At 47.2% G+C, this 22,101-nt stretch overlaps 1 protein-coding gene across 24 annotated transcripts in view, besides 3 other annotated features; it reads left to right on the forward strand.

Moving 5' to 3' along the window:
- ABAT (4-aminobutyrate aminotransferase) overlaps positions 1–22,101 on the forward strand; it is a 109,954-nt gene that overhangs the window by 39,311 nt on the left and 48,542 nt on the right. For 13 of the 24 annotated variants that reach the window (NM_001386615.1, NM_020686.6, NM_001386609.1 and 10 more), the window contains one exon: positions 21,772–21,882. The exons of 3 other annotated variants lie outside the window; for them this stretch is intronic. In NM_001386615.1, coding sequence (NP_001373544.1) covers positions 21,813–21,882 — 70 coding nt within the window. In that variant the 5' untranslated portion in view covers positions 21,772–21,812. Of the gene's footprint in view, positions 1–662; positions 7,008–16,171; positions 16,273–21,771; positions 21,883–22,101 lie in introns of those variants that run through there. 8 more of the 24 variants (XM_047433688.1, XM_047433686.1, NM_001386616.1 and 5 more) reach the window with 6 other exon arrangements.
- Positions 6,176–6,676: an enhancer, noted in NCBI's record as "H3K4me1 hESC enhancer chr16:8813960-8814460 (GRCh37/hg19 assembly coordinates)". NCBI's record gives its function as "activates a minimal SCP1, AML or CMV promoter by ChIP-STARR-seq in naive H9 embryonic stem cells {active_cell/tissue: H9 hESC(naive)}" and the evidence as "EXISTENCE:reporter gene assay evidence [ECO:0000049][PMID:30033119]".
- Positions 13,238–13,466: a silencer, noted in NCBI's record as "fragment chr16:8821022-8821250 (GRCh37/hg19 assembly coordinates)". NCBI's record gives its function as "represses an EF-1alpha promoter that drives an FKBP-Casp9 reporter gene in an ReSE screen in HepG2 liver carcinoma cells {active_cell/tissue: HepG2}" and the evidence as "EXISTENCE:reporter gene assay evidence [ECO:0000049][PMID:32094911]".
- Positions 18,127–18,712: an enhancer, noted in NCBI's record as "NANOG-H3K27ac hESC enhancer chr16:8825911-8826496 (GRCh37/hg19 assembly coordinates)". NCBI's record gives its function as "activates a minimal SCP1, AML or CMV promoter by ChIP-STARR-seq in naive H9 embryonic stem cells {active_cell/tissue: H9 hESC(naive)}" and the evidence as "EXISTENCE:reporter gene assay evidence [ECO:0000049][PMID:30033119]".

Here is a 22,101-nt window from a genome sequence, read left to right on the forward strand (position 1 = left end):
ATGGGGAGGTGGTGCCAGTGTCTGTCAGTGCCTGTTATCTGTGGTGTTGGGGTGTGCAGGTCGGGGGGGCACACACCCTTGTGCATCTGTGTACATGCGTGCACATGTGCCTGGCTCTCTGTGTGTAGGACACACAAATGTACTTAACAGATTTTTCAAGGACACTTTGTGAACACAGCAGGAGGAGACCCTTTAAAGTGGGGACAAAATAATGAAAGATGGATATAGAAATGATGAGATAAGGAATTGCTCTTATCAATAGGCTTGCAACACCACAGTCCGCCTGCATCTGGTCCTAGGAAATGAAGTGAGGGTCACCTTGAAAAGGCATTTTTGTTCAAGCCGCTAAATAAATCCTTTCCCTTCGTTCTAAGGACAAGAACAGCACAAACACACACACCCCTTTCTCTTTGAAACTCAGGGGAATGGAAGGCTCAGGGGGCGCTGTCACTGGGCATTTCAGATAGAGTTTGCAGTGAGAATCTCAGTTGACAGCCAGGGCGGCTCACGCCAAGAGTAGATGTCAGGAAGCTCTGGACAGCCGCTCTCTTCACATCTTGTGGCTGATTAGAAGTTCATTTTGAATTTTTTCCCAGAAGCAGCCTATGCCCCAAGAGGCAACCAGAAGAAAGCAATTTTAGAAAATGCAATTTCATTTGCAGGGCAAGATGTGGGAATCCTGAAAGGTTGGCGCTGAAGATCCTGCAGTTGGTGTGTGCAAGCTGGCAGCCAGGCCGCTGCCGGAGGAAGGGGGTCCTCTGTGCTTTGCATGTCCCTGGGTATTTGGGAAACTTGGCAGCCGGTTGCTCTAAGTGAACCCTGACTCTGGAGTAGGCACTGGGCACCCTGGCGGAGAGGACAGAGCCGGAGACAAGGACTGGCCTCAGGGAGTTTCCAGTTCAAATAGGAACAGACCCGATCACACGCGATACGCTCACCCTCAGACACATTGCTGCTGCCTGCATTTCCTCCGGGCTGCCATCCCCCTTCCCCTACCCTGGCCTCTGTCTGCCACGACTGCCCTTGTCTACCTGCCAAGCTCTAATTATCGTTAAACATCCCGTCACTGCTTCCCGGAAATCTTTAACTTCCACCCAAGAACAGCTAACACTATACGCCCTCCTCTACCTGCAGAAATCACTTGGACCCTCTGACATCACATGTCCAACCGACCTCTTTCTCCACATTTGCCCGTGAGCTGCACTTCATTTTGCAAGGACATAAAGAAGACTATTCACGCAACTACATGCAAAATGACTGGCTGGGATTCCTAAAACGCCAATGTCTTTTAAAAGGCAAAAGGGCTGAGAAATGGTTCCAGGTTAAAAGAGATTAAAGAGCCATGAGCCCAAATGCAATGTTTGATCCTAGGATGAAGCCTGGATCAGGGGAACAGAAAACACTTGTGGGCTGGGCTCAGTGGCTCATACCTGTAATCCCAGTGCTTTGGGAGTCCGAGGGAGGAGGATCACTTGAAGTCAAGAGTTAGAGACTAGCCTCAGGAATATAGGGAGACCCCATCTCTACAAAAAATAAATATAAAAATAAACTAACCAGACATAGTGGTGTGTGCCTGTGATCCCAGCTACTCAGGAGGCTGAGGCAAGAGGATCACCTGAGCCCAAGAGTTCGAGGCTGCAGTGAGCCATGAGCCATGATCATGCCACTGCACTCCAGCCTAGGTGATAGAGCGAGACCCTGTCTCTAAAAAAAAAAAAAAAAAAAAAAACAATTAAAGAAGTTTTAGGGATAAGTGGGAATATCTGAATATAGATTGTATGTTAGATAATAGTATTTATAGTATTTTTATGTCATGAATATGCCAATAATAAATAAATTAAAAAAAGATAATAGTATTTTATTAATGGTACCTTCATGAGAGTGACTTTGTATCTCAGATCATTTGTACTGAGGTTATGTAAGAGAACATTCTTGTTCTTAGAAGATACAGGCTGAAGGATTCAAGGATGAAATATCACAATGTCCACAACTAACTCAAATAATTCAGAAGACAGATAATAGAGTGGGCACGAGTGTGGCAAAATGTTAACAGTTTCGAGGATTACAAGCGGCTGTGGAACTATGTTCATAACTTTTATGTGGGTCTGAAGATTTTCCAGTGCCCAGGCTGGGCACTCTGCTTAGCTTTGCGCGTGGATTATCTCATTTCATCCTCAGAGCAGCTTGGGGATGGGAGAGCTCTATCACACCCATTTTCCAGTGGAGAAAACAGAGGCACAGCTAGTTGTAAGCCCAGGCCACATTATGCCCCCACCCCCTGTTTTGTGAAATTTAGTACTAAAGATACTACATGGCTGTGTGATGTCGGGCAAATCACTTAACCTCTCTGTGATCTGTTTCCTTTTTTCTTTTTTTTGCTACGAGTGGATAATTATAATATCAGAAGGTTGTTCTGATGGGTATTATGATATATAAAGAACTTAGAACAGGGTTTGGCCTAAAGTAAGCGCTGAGCAAGTGTCTGCTGTTGCTGCTGCTAATTGTATTTGTTGCTGCAGTCGTGATCCCAGCACCCTCACCTTGGCCAGTGATGGGGAAACCTGAAGGGTGTTTTTTCTTCTGTACCCAGGGCGTGCTTCATGGGTTTGTGATCTATATGGTCACACAGGGTCCCGTGTTCAGAAGATCCCCCCATGTCACTGACTTGCAATTCGTAACCATTTTCTCACAAGGGGCCTCGAATATTTATTTTATGCACTGGGTCCCACACATCATGTAGCCAGCCCTGTCTGCTCTCCCTTTTTATTGGATCCCGTTGAGAGCCTCTCCTAGACTAAACTACTTGTGCCTACGTCATTGCAGCAGACAGGCCCAGGCAGGCCGTGGCATTTCAGCAGGTCAGATTGTATGTTCCTGTGACCACACTCCAATTCTGATGCAATGCGTCAGCCCGCACAGGCCAGTACAGTAGCCGTTCATCACATCTGGTCATTGAGCATCTGAGACGTGGCTATTCTAAACTGTGATGTGCTGTGAGTGTGAAATTCACACCAGATTTTGAAGACTTAGCACACATCCGAAAAAGAAATGCAAAATATCTTATTAATAACTATATTGATGGCCGGGCACGGTAGCTCGCGTCTGTAATCCCAGCACTTTGGGAGGCCAAGGCGGGTGGATCACTTGAGGTCAGGAGTTTGAGACCAGCCTGACCAACATGGTGAAACTTTGTCTCTACTAAAAATACAAAAATTAGCCAGGAGTGATGGCACACACCTGTCATCCCAGCTACTCGGGAGGCTGAGGCAGGAGAATCGCTTGAACCTGGGAGGCGAAGGTTGCAGTGAGCCGAGATTGTGCCACTGCACTTCAGCCTGGGCAACAAGAGCAAAACTCCATCTCAAAAGTAATAATAATAACTATATTGATTATGTATCAAAATTATTACATTTTAGATACAATGGGTTAAATAAGATACATGAAAAAAATTGGTTTCAGCTGTTTTTGCTTTTTTCATATGGCTACCAGAAAATGTAAAATTACCTATGTGGTTTGCATTGAAAGCTTGTGTTATATTTCTTTTGGGCAGTACTGTCTTAGAGCATACTACCTGTGCCTTCATTGTGACTCCAAACCAAACCAGACCAGCAGGTGACAGTGCAGTGAATTGATTTCTAAGTTACATTAATACACACTGGCCCTGGTGCTGTAGCTTAGACCAGAGTCTCCCAATCAATCCATCAGGCACCTCTTTCTGTTCCTTCTTTTCTGTTCCTTTCTCTCTTAAGATAGTCCAAGACACTGATTTTTATACCCAGTGAGTTTGTCAAGTAGCCTAAAGATATTTTTGAGGCAACGTATTGGGTAAAAAGAAACTGAAGTTGGAATCAGAAGGACTAATTTAAGAATTAAATTAAAATCCCAAATCACCTCTTTTTTTTTTTCTTTTAGAGATGGGGTCTCGCTCTGTCACCCAGGCTGATCTCAATCTCCTGGGCTCAAGCGATCCTCTCACCTTGGCCTCCCAACATGCTGGGATTACACATCAGGTCCCAGGTCACCTCTTCTCCATGAGGTGAGCTTGGGCATGTTATTTCTCTGTGCAAGGAAACAGAACAGCACTAGCTTTAAAGCCTCACAGACCCGAGTTTGAAGACTGGCTCTGCCGTTGACAAGCTGTGTGACACAGGATAAGCCACAACCCTCTCTGAACCTCAGTCTCATCCTCAGTCTCATAGCGCTGATGATGCATACTGTGTAATACTGTTGCAAGAATGGAATAAGATGAAGCAGAACAAATGTCCAACCCAGCAACTGGCACATGGCAGGTGTGCGCTTAATCCCTGCATTCTTAGTGGGATCAGTATTCCCAAGAGAGTGAACATTTATGGGAAAGAAAAGAAATCTTACTCTTTATGAATAAAGTACAGATATAAAATACAATACATAAGCAGATGTACAATTTATCTGTGGAATTAAAATTTCATGGGGTATGTAGCTAATAAAGAATCTTTAGGGGAATGGCAATGAAAAAAAGTTTGAGAAACATTGCATTAATCTGACGGATGGGACTCAGAGGTTGCTTTTCAGTTCAGTTCCTGTAGTTGTCAGAGTATAGGGCTGAAACTCCATGATTGAATTCAACAAGTGTTTTTGAGCACCTACAATAGCCAGACACCGTTCTGGACCCTGGAAATGGAGGGCACCCTCCAGGTACATGCTTCCCAGAGCTGGTCTCTGAGGTCCCCTGAGCCAGCCCCTGCCTCTGGGAAGATGACCCCTAAATGGCAGCCTCAGTCAGGGGGCAGGGTTTTAGAGAACAACAGGAATAGAAGTATTTGCCTCCCAGGAGTAGATAAGACGGTGTATGTGAAACCTTGACACGATTGGCATTCATTCGTAAAATCAGAGCAGATACCTGCACACACAGGCATAAATGAAAGATACTTTGAATTACAGAAAAGTTAAGGTCTTTGCAAGTGCATGTAGGAATGCTGCCAGGCACACAGCGTGACTCCAGCCACCAACAAAGTGTTTCCAAGTCTGGAGCTGTGTGGTCCTTGAAGGAAATATAAATGTTTCACTTGTTATACGCTGTGATTTTTGCGTACTTAGCGGTTTCTGGAGTCCGTGAAAGTGGTTTGTTTTCTCTGAACGGGAAGTGCGTTTCCTCCAATCACACCGACCTGATTTGTTTGTTGCTTGTTGGGCCTCCCCACGGGAACACGAGATCCCACAGAACACAGCAGGACGTGTCCTTGTTTACTGAGGAATCTCTGGGGCTCGGCACAGGTGTGCAGAAAGCATTTATTGAACTGAACAAACAGATTTTACAAGCCGGACCTTCTGTGGCGTTGGCCCGGGTAGCTACTTCAGCATGGGTCCAAGCATCCTTTCTAAGCCAATTCCATTCTTTCACTCCTCCTCCCTTGTAGGATCAGAAATCCAAAGCTAGCTTATCCTTTTGCAGATGTTTCTTTCCATATTATTTCCTACCTCCAGAACAAAGGCTATCTGTGTCTCACATTCGGAGGCTTGGATGTGAAGCCCTGTCTGTTCATTTTTCTCTCCAGTTTTTTCACAGGCTGGGTAACTACCTGCCTGCTAGCAACGATGTGTTCGTTCTCCCTGGATTCCTGATTGAGGTGGGCAGAGAGGACTCTGAGACAGGAGCATGAGGATGAGGCAGATCAGCTTCTTTCTCATGAAATCTGGATGTTGAGGCTGGTAGCAGGACCACCGCATGTGCCAATAGTCTTTAGCAGCTCATCAGGCCATAGAAGAAGTGCCTTTACTAACTTCAAGTCCAGCCTGGGAAACGTAGTGAGACCTTGTCTCTCCCTGTCTAAAAAAAGAAGAAGAAAGAAGGAGGAGGAGGAGGAGAAGGAGAAGGAAAAAAAGAAGTTGTTCACAATTTTTGTTTACTCGTTTACTTATTTTTGAGATGGAGTTTCACTCTTGTCGCCAGGTTGGAGAGCAGTGGCACGACCTCTACTCACTGCAACATTCGGTTCTCAGGTTTAAGCAATTCTCCTGCCTCAGCCTCCCAAGTAGCTGGAACTACAGGCACCTGCCACCACGCCCAGCTGATTTCTGTATTTTTTTGTAGAGTTGGGACTTCACCATTTTAGCCAGGCTGGTCTCGAACTTTTGACCTCAGGTGATCTGCCTGCCTCGGCCTCCCAAAGTGCTAGGATTACAGGCGTGAGCCATCGCGCCCAGCCAAAATGCACAATTTTAAAGAGCTCTTTGGAAACAGAAAATGGCCTGCAACAGGCATCTCTTCCACATCCTATGTACTTTCTTCAATTGACCCTAAGCCAGTTGAGTGCCTCCTGACCCCACAAATAGATTTCATTCTTCCCATTTTACAGATGCAGAAACTAAGGCACTGATGAGTTCAGCAACTTGCCTAGGTAATATATATGGCCCAGCCACACTTTAGACCCAATTTCTGGCTCTTGTTACTTTCCCCACATCATTCTCAGTCTTTCTTAGGAATGGACATTTGCCTGTTTCCAAGAACAGTATTTCTGTCTCCCTATACAAGTCACTGATAATTTTATGATGCCCAAGAGGCAGGTGATAGGAAGTCATGCCTGCAGGGAGAGAGGGCTGGGGCCCATGCGGAGGGGAAAGTCAGAAGAGGCTGTTGCAGCTGAAGTCGGAGGAGAAAAGTGGATGTGAGATAAAGCCTCTGTCCCTGTGCCACTGCCCCTGAATGGGGCCCTGTTAACCCCATCTGCACAGGCCCACGGCTCCGGCTTTATGGGTTGCTATGGCAACCCCTGGCCTTGACAACTGAAGTGCACTTGGCTGAGTGTGTCTTTGTGTCCCTTTGAGTCTGCAGAGAAGCCAGCAGCTGGGGCTGCAGACGGGAAAGGAATGTCCTCAGCGTCTGCCAGCACTTTTGTCTTGGTCCCAACGGCTGATAGGAAAATGAGAGGCAGGGTCTTTTCTAGAGAGATCTGGGGGGTCCATTTCTAGCCGATGATGCATGCAAAGAGTTCGTGTTCACAGGACCTGGGAAGCAGCGGAGTAGAAAGGTGAGTCAGACGCCATCTTCATAGGCTGCTTGTTGAGCATTTACTGTTTATTCAATGATTGTTTGCAGGCAGGCACTGCTCTGGGGCTGGGGAAACAGTAAGGACTTCTGCCAGCCCACAAAATAGTTCCAATTGCTATTACTCCCATTTTACAGATCAGGAAACTGAGGCACAGAGACGTTACTTAATGTGCCTGAGGTTATACGGCGGGTCAGTGAGAGGCCAGGGATGTCTAGTCTGGGGGTAAGATCATTTTGAAGGATGCAAGATTGGGGAGATGCAGGGAAGAAGCAGTTTCATATCCAGCACCTCACACTCTGCCTCCACAGGCTTTTTTCTCCCTGTATCCATGGGATGTTTGACCTCCAGTTCCAGGGATTTGAGGATCATGAAGTCCTGTGGTCATATGCAGGGCCCACCGTCCACTCTTTATGGTAATTAACAGTAGTTCTCAGCCTCCGAGCCTCCAGAGCTTCCCCCGGTGCCCAGGTCACACCTGTGAGACTCAGACCTACTTAGTCTGGGTGGGGCTTTGACACAAGTGTAAGCTTCTGGTGAGCGAGCGTCAGGTGCAGCCAACGCTAGAAATTTCTGGCTTTTGAGCTCTAAGACCTTGAACAAGCCTTTTAGGCTTCTGAACCGGTTTTATAACGCCAGCCAATCCTGCAGATTACCGAAAGGATCTATGGAAGGTCTATTGCATGTGGTAGGTGAACAGTAAGTAAATAAATGGGAGCTGGTACTTTTACTATGATTATTCTTTCTCCAGAGCAAATTGGAAGAGTTTGTTTCCACTTTCACCTGAATTCCTCTCACTTTTACTGATTTAAACATTGAACTCGGCCTCTTAGCTCATCTCGCCCCTCCCCGCAATGCACCAGACACACGAAGGAAGCAGAGAGAGCTAATTTGCATTTTAATCAAAAGAAAAAGGACGAGGAGAGGTGGGTGGGACTGAAGAGCTCACTATCTGGCTAGACCAGGGTTTTGACTTGTTTTGACTGAGACACACAGTAAGGAATAGAACTTACTTCAGGCCCACTGCACAGCTGAAACAAAAATTACCAGCATTTGCTATGTACCCTGACAATTCCTATTCTGTTTGATTTACTGATGGATTTAAATTTCTCTTTCAGTTCTGATCATGTCAAGGAAAAGGTCCCCATGTGATGCCAGCCTGCCTTTAACACCTGTCTGCTCTCTGCCAGTCTCTAGGGAAAGGAGGGGGCCAGGCCTGGGGCTATAGCCTTGGGCGGTCCACTCTGTCCGGCTTTTAATTGAATAACTTGCTTTGATTTTATTATGTTCTTTTCCTAGTTGCCTTCGTAGCAAATAAAACTTGACGGGGGAAGATAGCAATTAGGTTTTTTTATTTGTTATATTTTTCTTTGTAGAGACAGGGGTTTCACTATGTTAGCCAGGCTAGTCTCAAACGCCTGGCCTCAGCTGATCCATCTGCCTCGGCATCCCAAAATTCTGGGATTACAGGCATGAGCCACCACACCTGGCCAGAAGGTAGCAATTGGAAAGGATCCTAGGAAAATTACTTTTTTAAATTGAAAAAGCAAGTTGATTTCAAGAAAAATGTTAAGTCAACACAAGTCATATGAGACATAAGAGCTCAAAGGAAGGGTAGTATGCCAAGAACTGAGGTTCGGGAAATGCATGGGGGAGATTGGGGGTCTCAGAGACCAGGAGGGCCAACAACCAGCCTGCTGTAACTTCAGATTTTCAGATTTCTCCAACCTCCTTGGTCACAATTTCATGGCGTGCCAGTGCTCTGAAAGCACCTCCCTTCTAACCAGGAATCCTTCACCTGCTTCTTTCCCCAGATGCGCCCATCCAGGGTCTAGCGGATTGCAAAGGGCCTGGTAGAATCAAAGAGGGATATACTAATGCAACTTCGAGGTAGGAGCAAGGCTTGGGGAAAATGCTGTGGCAAATTCTCAGTAATATGGAACTCTTAGCACGCTTGTCAGGTGTTTCTTAGAGTCCGAACGGGCCTTAGAAACAATGTGATCCAGCCAGGCAAGGTGGCTCATGCCTGTAATTCCAGCACTCTGGGAGGCCGAGGGATCACTTGAGGTCAGGAGTTCAAGACCAGCCTAGCCAACATGGTGAAACCCTGTCTCTACAAAACATACAAAAATTAGCCAGGTGTGGTGGCGTGCCCCTGTAATCCCAGCTGCTCAGGAAGCTGAGGCAGGAGAATCACTTGAATCCGGGAGGCAGAGGTTACAGTGAGCCAAGATCACACCAGTGCACTCCAGCCTGGGTGACAGAGTAAGATCGTGTCTCTCAAAAAAATAAAGAGAGGAAGCCGAGAGGCTATTTAGGATATCATTGCCTTCATCCAGGAGAAGGATGATGGCAAGTTGGACCAGAGCATGTTGGAGACTTGTGCACCAGCAGGGATATACTGGAACCCTGGGCACCCAGCTCCCTTCTATCATCATTGGTGCTTCAGGCTTCTGTACCAAGAAAGAGAGCCTTCCCTTGTGGCAGCCTGCATCTGGGGTTTCCAGTGCAAGCCTGCAGGGAAAGTCTGCCTATCTGTGGGGCCTCTTTCCTTGGCAACTCCAGAAATCTCCAGGGATCTCAGACCATAGGGCTCTAGAATCAATGACTACATCTTCAGCAGCAAGTATAAGACAGGAGCAAGTCAGAGACAGAGTAAATGCAAATGACTTGTGTGCCTATGATTGTCCAGGATGTGTTCATCCATTATCCCTAATTCCCAGCGCAACCCTGCAGTGAGAGAGGCATCACTATCTCCAATCTACAAATCAGGAAACTGAGGCTCAGAGCATTTTTGTAAGTTTCACCCTGTTGTACAAGTACCTAAGATAGGGCAGTGGTTTGGATCCAAGCTTTTTATATATATATATATATATTTTTTTTTTTTTTTTTTTTTTTTTTTTTTTGAGACGGAGTCTTGCTCTGTCGCCCAGGCTGGAGTGCAGTGGCATGATCTAGGCTCACTGCAACCCCCACCTCCCGGGTTCAAGCAATTATCCTGTGTCAGCCTCCCCAGTAGCTGGGATTACAGGTGCACGCCACCATGCATGGCTAATTTTTATATTTTTAGTAGAGACAGGATTTCACCATTTTGGCCAGGCTGGTCTTGAACTCCTGACCTCAGGTGATCCATCCACCTCAGCCTCCCAAAGTGCTGGGATTCCAAGTGTGAGCCACTGCGCCCAGCCCCAAGCTTTATATTCTAAAACCCAGGCTCAAATACCACCTCCATGCACAACCCACATATCTTAATTATCTATTATGGTGCACATAACAGACATCACTAATCTATCACATTTTTTCCCCTGAAAACCTAAAAGAGTGCTTCCTGCTAACAGGTCAAAAAATAATGAAAAATAAAAAATAAGTAAAGCTAAAAGAGGCCGTAAAATCTTTTTGTTCGCTGCTCCAAATAGGCAATACTCATTGGCCAGCACTGGCACGTGTTGTAACATTTATTTGCCATTTCAATACTGCACAGAAAATTAGCTTCTCTCAGCTAGGCATGGTGGTTCACACCTGTAATCCCAGCACTTTGGGAGGCCAAGGTGGGAGGACTGCTTGAGCCCAGGAGTTCAAGATCAGCCTGGGCAACATGGTGAAACCCCATCTCTCCAAAAAAGAAATACAAAGATTAGCCAGGTGTGGTGGCATGTGCTTATAGTCCCAGCTACTCGGTAGGCTGAGATGGGAGGATCACTTGAGCCTGGGAGCCAGAGGTTGCTGAGATGGCACCACTCCACTCCAGCTTGGGCAATAGAGCCAGACCTTGTCTCAGGAAAAAAAAAAAAAACAAAAAAAAAAAAAAAAAAAAAAACAATGGCAATCTTGGGGTCACACAGCCTGTAGCAGGTGGAAATTGAAGAATAAGTCTGTGTGATCAGAGTGTGTCATTACTCTACACACACTTCTTTGGTCCTCTCCCTTCCCATCTACAAAAGACAGCCAACTCCAATATCTCTTTTTTCTTTTTTTTTTTTTTGAGATGGAGTCTCACTCTGTTGCCCAGGCTGGAGTGCAGTGGCGCCATCTCGGCTCACCGCAACCTCCGCCTCCCGGGTCCAAGCGATTCTCCCGCCTCAGCCTCCAAAGTAGCTGGGATTACAGGCGCCTGCCACCACGCCCGGCTAATTTTGTATTTTTAGTAAAGACGGGGTTTCTCCATGTTGGTCGGGCTGGTCTCGAATTCCTGACCTCAGGTGATCTACCCGTCTCGGCCTCCCAAAGTGCTACGATTATAGGCGTGAGCCAGCGCGCCTGGCTTTTTCATTTTTATTAAGATAAACATAACATTAACCTTTTTAAGTGAAAACTCAGACCCTTTTAGAACATCCACAATGCTGTGCAGCCACCACCGCTATCTAATTCCAGATTTTTTTCATCACCCCGGAGACCCCCGTACCCATTAAGCAGTCATCTCTCATTCCTCCCAGGCCCCTGCCAACCCCTGATTTATTTTCTGTCTTTGTAGATTCACCTACTCTTGAAGGTTCCTATAAATGGATTCGTAGACTATGGGGCATTTTACCTCTGCATTCATTCATATAGCATAAAAAATATTTTGAGATTTATCCATGTTGTAGCATGTGTCAGAACTTCATTCCTTTTTATGACTGAATAATATTTCGTTGTAAGGATAGACCATGTTTTGTTTATTCATTCATCCACTGATCGACATCTGGGCTTTTTCTACCTTTCGGCGCTTGTGAATAGTGCTGCTATGTGTATTTGTTTGAGTCTCTGTTTTCAGTTCTTTGGGTTGATGCAAAGGTCATTTCCTTTTGCACCAACCTAGTACTTAGGGGTGGAATTGCTGGGTCATGTAGTAGTAATTCTATGCTTAACTTTTTGAGGAACTTGTAATTCTTAAAAGGCCATGCCAACTCTAGGACTGAGGGTTTAAGAGCTAATCCCTGCCTTCTTACTCCTCATCAACTCCCACCCCAGTGGGTGCCCTCCAACACACCTGCCTCGAGAACCCCCTCCCCAGCTCAGTGACCCCAGCATCTCATTGACATGCTGAGTGCATGCTCCCTGCCCCTCCCTGGGAGCCTGCCTAAACACAGACCCTTCTATTCTTTCTAATTTTTTTTGTACCCATTAACTATCCACCTCCCATTCAACCCGCCACTACCCTTCCCAGCCTCTGGTAACCATCCTTCTACTCTCTATGCCCGTGACTTCAATTGATTTGATTTTTAGATCCCACAAATAAGTGAGAACACATGCCACTTGTCTTTGTGTGCCTGGCTTATTTCACTTAACATGATGATCTCCAGTTCCATCCACGTTGTTGCAAATGACTAGATCTTTTTTTTTTTTTTTTGAGATGGAGTCTCGATCTGTTGCCCAGGCTGGAGTGCAGTGGCGCCATCTCGGCTCACTGCAACCTCTGCCTCCCGGGTTCAAGCGATTCTCCTGCCTCAGCCTCCCTAGTAACTGGGACTACAGGCATGGGTCACCACACCCAGATGATTTTTGTTTTTTGTAGAGATGGGGTTTAGCCATGTTCGCCAGGCTGGCCTCATGGGATCCACCTGCCTCAGCCTCCCAAAGTGCTGGGATTACAGGTGTGAGCCACTGCGCTGAATAGTACTCCATTGCGTGTATGAACCACATTTTCTTTATCCATTCATCTGTTATTGGACACTCAGGTTGCTTCCAAATCTTAGCTATTGTAAGCAATGCTGCAACAAACATAGGAGTGCAGATATCTCTTCGATATACTGAGTTCCTTCCTTTTGTGTATTTACCCAGCAGTGGGATTCCTGGATCATATGGTAGCTCAATTTTTAGTTTTTTGAGGAACCTCCAACTGTTCTCCATAGTGGTTGTACTAGTTTACATTCCCACTAACAATGTACAAGGGTTCCCTTTGCTCCACATCCTCTCCAGCATTTGTTATTGCCTGTCTTTTGGATATAAGCCATGTTAACTGGGGTGAGATGACAGCTCTTTGTAGTTTTGATTTGCCTTCTCTGATGATCAGTGATGTCAAGCACCTTTTCATGTGCTTGCTTGCCATTTGTATGTCTTCTTTTGAGAAATATCTATTCAAATCTTTTGTCCATTTTTTGATCGAATTATGAGATTTTTTTCTATAGAGTTGTTTGACCTCCTTTTTATATTCTGGTTATTAATCCCTTGTGAGAGGAGTAGTTTGTAAATATTTTCTCTTGTTCTGTGGGTTGCCTCTTCGCTTTGTTGGTTGTATCCTTTGCTGGAGGACAGACCCTTCTGGATGCAACTAGAGCAGCTGGGCTCCCTCCTCCCTTTGAGAGGGTCTCCAGAGGGCCCTATCAATCAAGATCAGCCTAGAAATTGTTGCTCGAGTTGGCTCCAGATGACCGCACCTTCACCTTCCCTCCAAGTGCTCTATGATTTCTTACCACACCCACTCTCACTGTGCACCAGGATCCTTAGCTACTCCGTGTCATCATACACCTCCGAGCACTTGCCTTATCCCTGCTTTCTTCATTGCCTTCTGAAATCGCCTAACTTTTGAAGATGCAGCTCAGGCAACACCTCCCTGACATTGTCACCCCAGCCAGAAAGAATCTCCCCGTATTCCCTTAGCACTTCACTCACACCAGCAAAATAGTTGTGATTCTGTTCTATCTTATGCAGAATTTGTTGTTGACAGTGAACTGGAAAATTTTTATGTACATATCATGCTGAGTTATTTTAAGAAAGTATTCACATGATGGGTAAAGCAGCCTAGTACATTAAATTCTTCCATTTTCTTTCCGCTCATAGTTCTCTGCCACTAAATTATGAGCTTCAGAAAGAAAGCAATTTATCCATCTTGGTTTCTCCTAAGAGAAGTGATGACTTGGCCAGGAGCGGTGGCTCATGCCTGTAATCCCAACCGTTTGGGAGTCCAAGATGGTAGGATCACTTGAGCTCAAGAGTTTGAGACCAGCCTGGGCAAAATAGCAAGACCTCATCTCTACTAAAAATTTAAAAAAATTAGCCAGGCATGATGGCACATGCCTGTAGTCCCAGCTACTTGGACGGCTGAGATGGGAAGATTGCTAGAGCCCGGGCGATAGAGGCTGCAGTGAGCCCTGATCGCCCCACTGCACTCCAGCCTGGGCGACAGAGTGAGACCCTGTCAGAGAGAGAGAGAGAGAGAGATTGATTATATCTAAACGATGCAGTGCCTTGCTGATAACAGGTGCCTAATTAACTTGTGTTGATTGAATTAGTGGATGAGAGGGAGTGAATGAATGACGTTAACTCTTCCAATTGTTTGAAATATATTGTGCTAAGAATTAATGTCTAACAGAGATCAGATTTTGTTATAAGGTCAATTTTCAACTGCAGGCCACCAAAATGTCACCACGGTATATTTTCCAATGTGACATTTTGTAATTGAAAACGTGTGGGATTGGCTCTCACTTTTGCAGAATATTCAAATGTTGAGTTCTCTGAGACATTCGGAGTTTCAAAAACGTGTTTAATGGAAATTGAATTGTGTGACGCCTCAGTGCTCCCTGTTTCAGACAAGTGGTTTTAAGGGAAAGACATGAACTGCACTTTCTACACAGTTACTCTGTTGCTAAATTAATAGGCTTGCATTGAGTCGGATATCCTGGAATAGAAAAAAAAAATCCATTGAGTTATTAAGAAAAGAGTTTGGGCCATGCACAGTGGCTCACACCTGTAATTCCAGCACTTTGGGAGGCAGAGGCGGGTGGATCACAAGGTCAGGAGATTGAGAACCTTCTGGCCAACATGGTAAAACCTCATTTCTACTAAAAATACACAAATTAGCCAGGTGTGGTGGCACATGCCTATAATCCCAGCTACTCGGGAGGCTGAGGCAGGAGAATCGCTTGAACCAGGGAGTCAGAGGTTGCAGTGAGCCGAGATCACGCCACTGTACTCCAGCCTGGCAACAGAACAAGACTCCATCTCAAAAACAAAGAGTTTGGTTTCTCAGTTAATTCATGGCCACACTTTCCAAGCCCACACTTTCTCAGAAAGTTTCCTCTGGTGAAAAGCAATAAAATTTATTCTGTGAACTACGTCATTTTTATTCATGAAGCCTCATATCAACAATAGCTAGGGGCCGGGCACGGTGGCTCACGCCTGTAATCTCAGCACGTTGGGAGGCCAAGGCAGGCAGATTACTTGAGCTCAGGAGTTCAAGACCATCCTTCACAACGTGAGAAAAACCTGGCTCTACTGAAAAAAAAAAAAATTAGCTGGGCGTGGCGGCGTTCGCCTGTAGTTCCAGGTACTTGGGAGGTGGCAGGATGGCCTGACCCTGGGGGAGGCAGAGGTTGCAGTAAGCTAAGATTACACCACTGCTCTCCAGCCTGAGTGACAGAGCCAGACCCTGTCTCAACAAAAACAAAAACAGCTAGGAGTTTTGTTATTAGCTGGATTAACTGATGTTACAATGCATAGAGGCAGGGGCTTTGGGGTCAGACAGTCTCAGGTAAGCCTATGACTGAGGCCGAATGTCATAACCTCTCTGAGCCTCCCTTTTATCATCTCTGAACAGGGAGATTACCCTACTCCTATAGATGTTTGAGCAAAGAGAAGGGAGTAATGTACCCTTCAGAATGTCTCACAAAGACCAGGCACCATGCCTCATGCCTATAATCCCAGCACTTCAGGAGCCAAGATGGGAGGATCATTTGAGCACAGGAGTTTGAGACCAGCCTGGGCAACACAGCGAGACCCCTGTCTCTAAAAAATATATATATTTAAAAATTAGCTGGGTATGGTGGTGCATGCCTGTAGTCCCAGCTACTTGGCAGGGCTAAGGTGGGAGGATCTCTTGAGCCCAGGAGTTCAAGGCTGCAGTGAGCAATGATCACGCCACTGCTCTCTAGTCTTTCTTTTGTCTAGCCCTTTTTTGTCTTAAAAAAAAAAAAAAAAAAGACCCTGTTTGAATGCTGGATCATCTCAGTGGGTAGAGAGTGTCAGGACTCTGGCCCAGCCCTGTCTAGTCAACCATGGCCAGTAGGGCCAGGTCTATGCCCCCGCAGAGGAATGGGGAAGTATCTGAGAAGGGGGAGGAAGGAAGTGCAGAGCAGACACCCCAGAAGATACTTCCTGCACCAACCCCACCCCACCCGTGATAGTACCTCAGTTGCCTGAAGACAGGATAATGACCTGTCTCTGTCTTCTAGGAGCTGCCTCCTAGGGCTCTGGGGATGAAACGAGATGGTTCTACAGCACCAGCTGAGAGCCTGCACATAGCAAGTGCCCAGTACTTGATGATGCTTAGAGGGTAAGGACGGCCTCTAATTGATCTTTATGTGCCCTAGTGCCCAGTGAAGGGTCTGGCACACGGTAGGTGTACCATGAATGTTCGTAGCACAAATGCATCAATGGCAACCGCCTCCCTCCTTCATTCACTCTTTCCTTCTAATAATACAGCCAACATTCTATTAGCTCTGTGGGCAGCCACAGCGTGCTGGAACTCGCCATCCTGGGCTCGGTGCCTGATTCTCCACACTATTCCTGCCCTGTGCTGCTGAGCCCACGTGTTTCCCAGCACCTGAACCTGTACTCTGAACCCGCCTGTCATTCCTCCTTGCCCTGTTCTCTCTCCTTGGATACAGGCCTCCCCTCCAGCTGTGGGATCTCTCTAGGTCTGTATTTATCACCTCTGGTTGGCACTTCCTATATGCTGTCATCACAGAAGCAGGGGGTGGGAGAAGCCTCTTGGTCTTCATCCAGGTCTAGGATGGAATTTCTGTCCACTGTGGGGCTGGGTAGAGTTAGGCAGCCCAAGCCAGGGCTGCATGAGGAAAGGGCTGCGTCCCCAGGGTCTGTCACAGAGTAAGTTTCAGGTGTTGCAACTCGCAATAAATCCATGCATTAGGCACAAGCCAGGACTCCTGAGCCAGATATCTCTCAACCCCAACGCTGGCTCCACCAGCAACTTGCTGTGTCCTGGGTAAACCACATGGCTTCTTTTAAAAAAAATAGTTTTACTTTGTTTACTGTCCAAAGTACTCATTAATTGTTTATTTATCAAGAGAAACTATTTCTAATTTTTTGTGTGTGAGACGGTGTCTCACTCTATCACCCAGACTGGAGTGCGGTGGTGTGATCTTGGCTCACTGCCATCTCCGCCTCCCAGGTTCAAGCGATTCTTGTGCCTCAGACTCCTGAGTAGCTGGGATTACAGGCGTGCACCACCACACCCAGCTAATTTTTGTATTTTTAGTAGAGACAGGGTTTTACTGTGTTGGCCATGCTGATCTCGAACTCCTGACCTCAAGTGATCCACCTGCCTTGGCCTCCCAAAATTCCGGGATTACAGGAGTGAGCCACCCTGCCAGCCCAAAGAGAAACTATTTCTTAGCCCCCATATTCATGTTTCATAGTTCAGGAACACAGGTCAGTGATAAACTTCTAGGTAACTCAACCCAAAGAAATTCTTTATATTCCAAAATCACTTTGCACTCTGAACAATAACAGCCATCCTCATCGCTTCTACATATGCCTTGTTTCTTGGTTCAGCCACAGCAAACTTATAGAGAGCTGCAACTCTCAGGGATACAATGACTGCTCCAACAATGTGAAATGGCAGACTCTGGACCAGAAGGCCACACACCTGAGTTTTGTCAAAGCACTGGAAGCCGTGGTAGTTGTCTAGTTGTCCTTGATAGGTATGTCAACCTCAACACCAATGTCTTTCCTGGATCACTTTTCTTTTTTTTTTTTTAATTGTTATTTTAAAAATCACACAGATAACATAAAATTTACCATCTTCACCATTTTCAAGTATACAGTACGGTATTATAAGCACTTTTGTTGTATAGTGAAGCTCCAGAACTACTTCATCCTGCAAACTGAAACTCCAAACACACTAAACAATGTCCTTTTTTCCCTTCCCCCAGCCCTCGGCAACCTCTTTTTCCTCTTTTTCTGTTTCTCTTTTTTTCCTCCTTGAAACAGAGTCTCGCCCTGTCGCCCAGGCTGGAGTGCAGTGGTGCGATCTCAGCTCACTGTAACCTCTGCCTCCCGAGTTGAAGTGATTCTCCTGCCTCAGCCTCCCAAGTAGCTGGGATTACAGGAGCTCACAACCACGCCCGGGTAATTTTTTATGTTTGGTAGAGACGGGGTTTCACTATGTTGGCCAGGCTGGTCTTGAACACCTGACCTCAAGTGATCCACCCATCTCGGCCTCCCAAAGTGCTGGGATTAGAGGCATGAGTCACCATGCCCAGACCCTCTATCTGTTTCTAGGAGGTTGACTACTTTAGGTTTTTTTTGTTTTTTTTTTTTGTTTGTTTGTTTTTTTAATTTATTTATTTTTTATTGATAATTCTTGGGTGTTTCTCACAGAGGGGGATTTGGCAGGGTCATAGGACAATAGTGGAGGGAAGGTCGGCAGATAAACAAGTGAACAAAGGTCTCTGGTTTTCCTAGGCAGAGGACCCTGCGGCCTTCCGCAGTGTTTGTGTCCCTGGGTACTTGAGATTAGGGAGTGGTGATGACTCTTAACGAGCCTGCTGCCTTCAAGCATCTGTTTAACAAAGCACATCTTGCACCGCCCTTAATCCATTTAACCCTGAGTGGACACAGCACATGTTTCAGAGAGCACGGGGTTGGGGGTAAGGTCACAGATCAACAGGATCCCAAGGCAGAAGAAGTTTTCTTAGCACAGAACAAAATGAAAAGTCTCCCATGTCTACTTCTTTCTACACAGACACGGCAACCATCCGATTTCTCAATCTTTTCCCCACCTTTCCCGCCTTTCTATTCCACAAAACCGCCATTGTCATCCTGGCCCGTTCTCAATGAGCTGTCGGGCACACCTCCCAGACGGGGTGGTGGCCGGGCAGAGGGGCTCCTCACTTCCCAGTAGGGGCGGCCGGGCAGAGGCGCCCCTCACCTCCCGGACGGGGCGGCTGGCCGGGCAGAGGGGCTCCTCACTTCCCAGTAGGGGAGGCCGGGCAGAGGCGCCCCTCACCTCCGGACGGGGCGGCTGGCCGGGCGGGGGGCTGACCCCCCTACCTCCCTCCCGGACGGGGCGGCTGGCCGGGCGGGGGGCTGATGCCCCCACCTCCCTCCCGGACGGGGCGGCTGGCCTGGCAGGGGGCTGATCCCCCCACCTCCCTCCCGGATGGGGCGGCTGGCCGGGCGGGGGGCTGACCCCCCCACCTCCCTCCCGGATGGGGCGGCTGGCCGGGCGGGGGGCTGACCCCCCCCCACCTCCCTCCCGGACGGGGTGGCTGCCAGGCGGAGACGCTCCTCACTTCCCAGACGGGGCGGCTGCCGGGTGGAGGGGCTCCTCACTTCTCAGACGGGGCGGCCGGGCAGAGACGCTCCTCACTTCCTAGATGTGATGGCGGCCGGGAAGAGGTGGTCCTCACTTCCTAGGTGGGATGGCGGCCGGGCGGAGACGCTCCTCACTTTCCAGACTGGGCAGCCAGGCCGAGGGGCTCCTCACATCCCAGACGATGGGCGGCCAGGCAGAGACGCTCCTCACTTCCCAGACGGGGTGGCGGCCGGGCAGAGGCTGCAATCTCGGCACTTTGGGAGGCCAAGGCAGGCGGCTGGGAGGTGGAGGTTGTAGCAAGCCGAGATCACGCCGCTGCACTCCAGCCTGGGCACCATTGAGCACTGAGTGAACGAGACTCCGTCTGTAATCCCGGCACCTCGGGAGGCCGAGGCTGGCGGATCACTTGCGGTTAGGGGCTGGAGACCGGCCTGGCCAACACAGCGAAACCCCGTCTCCACCAAAACCAGTCAGGCGTGGCGGCGTGAGGCTGCAATCGCAGGCACTCGGCAGGCTGAGGCAGGAGAATCAGGCAGGGAGGTTGCAGTGAGCCGAGATGGCAGCAGTACAGTCCAGCTTCGGCTCAGCATGAGAGGGAGACCGTGGAAAGAGAGGGAGAGGGAGAGGGAGAGGGAACTGAATCTTAATCTACTTTAGGTTTCATATGACAGGAATCATGCAGTATCTGACCTTTGGTGACTGGCTTATTTCACTTAGCATAATGTCTTCCAGTCTCATCCATGTTGCAGCATATAACAGGATTTCCTCCTTTTTTAAGGCTGCATAATATTCCACTCTGTGGATACAGCATATTTTTTCCCATTCATCTGTCAATGGACGTCTAGGTTGCTTCCACCTCTTGGCTATTGTGAATAATGCTACAGTGAACATGGGTTAAAATACCTCACTTCTGGAGCCTCAGTTTCCTCATCTGTAAAATGGGGATAATCACGCCTGCCCCATTGTTGCTGGCACGTGAAAGAAGCCTGATAAATCATGCTCCTAGCACCTTTCACTTTTCCTTCAAGGCACTTCTCCCCATTATAATGATGCCCTTGTTTATGTTATGATTCATTTCATTCTCTTTGTTCCTCATGAAGATGTAAGCTCCAGGCCTGCCTCATTCATCCCTGTATGTCCAGTCTGAGAAACAGTACTTGGTACAAAGTCAGCACTCAATGGAGTACTTGTTGCAAAATAAATAGAGGGATTTTGTTGGAGTGTTTGGGCTAAGTGTTGCGTGACTGTGAGGTTTGCTGACTCTGGGGTCACACACATGTGAGTTCGGCTTTCAGATCCACCACTTAACCTCTCTGTGCCTCAATTTCCTCCTCTGTAAAAAGACCATGGAGCATGGTTGTACATGTTAATAATAGTAATAAATATTAATCATACTGTATGTAAAGCGTTTTGTGCAGCATGCGTCACACAGAAAGGACTCGGGAAACAGGGTCCATGAAGAGGAATGACTCATGAATGGTGCTGTCGCTGTTCTGAGATACAAATTTTGTTCTGAGATACAATACCATTTATGTAAAAAATACACATACCAATTAACAAAACAGGTTTTTAGCAGAAAGATGTACAGACAGAAGGAGGCACACAAAACACATTTAAATGGTGTTCTGGGGAGAGGGAACAGGGAGCAAGGAGAGATGATAAAAGGAAACAAACTGGGGGATAGGGGCTGCTCCAGGCTCCCAATAAGAATGGCAATCAGGGCTGGACACAGTGGTTCATACCTGTAATCCCAGCACTTTGGGAGGCCAAGGCAGGCAGATTACTTGAGGTCAGAAGTTCAAGACCAAACTAGCCAACATAGTGAAACCCCATCTCTACTTAAAAAAAAAAATCACTGGGCATGGTAGCACATGCCTGTAGTCCCAGCTACTCAGGAGGCTGAGGTTGCAGTGAACCGAGATCGAGCCACTGCACTCCAGCCTGAGCGATAGAATGAGACTCCATCTCAAAAAAAAAAAAAAAAAAATGTGAATTGAAGTATATATTCAGTATAATATAGTTTTGGGTTGGTTTTTTTTGTTTTGTTTTGGTTTGGTTTTTTTTGAGACAGGGTATCACTTTGTCACCCAGGCTGGAGAGCAGTGGCGCGATTATGGCTCACTGCAGCCTCAAATTCCTGGGCTCAAGCGATCCTACCACATCAGCCTCCTGAGTAGCTGGGACTATAGGCAGGCACCACCACACCCAGCTAATTTTTAAAGTCTTTGTGAAGATGGGATCTTGCTATGCTGCCCAGACTAGTCTGGAACTCCTGGCCTCAAGAAGTCCTCGGTCTCCCAGTGTGGCTGAGATGACAGGTGTGAGCCACCTTGCCTGGCCTAATATATAAAGTCCATGTTCAGTATAAAACCCAAGCATTTGACAATGTCAGAAGAACTTTCTCTATTAGGTGGGAAGTGGTGGGGATGGGATCTTTGGCTGAGAGGGGAGTGGTCTTCATGGGCCTAAGTCTGCATTTCTGGTTTCTTTCAGGGTGGCAGCACGCAAAGGGTGTCCCTGTCCCTCAAGGGGTCATGGCCTCCATGTTGCTCGCCCAGCGCCTGGCCTGCAGCTTCCAGCACAGCTACCGCCTGCTGGTGCCTGGTAAGCCCCGGGGGTCTTGATAAGAACTGGTACTAATGGAAGATACCATCCAGACTAGGGATTCCTGGGCTGGAAGAGCCCTTGGGGATAAAGGGACCAGCCAGTGAGTGTTTCTGGGACTGTCCCACTGTATTAGTCTGTTCTCATGCTGCTAATAAAGGTACACCTGAGACTGGGTATTTTATGAAGAAAAAGAGGTTTAATGGTCTCACAGTTTCA

Source organism: Homo sapiens, chromosome 16 (genome assembly GCF_000001405.40).
Source record: "Homo sapiens chromosome 16, GRCh38.p14 Primary Assembly".
Lineage (NCBI taxonomy): Eukaryota > Metazoa > Chordata > Mammalia > Primates > Hominidae > Homo > Homo sapiens.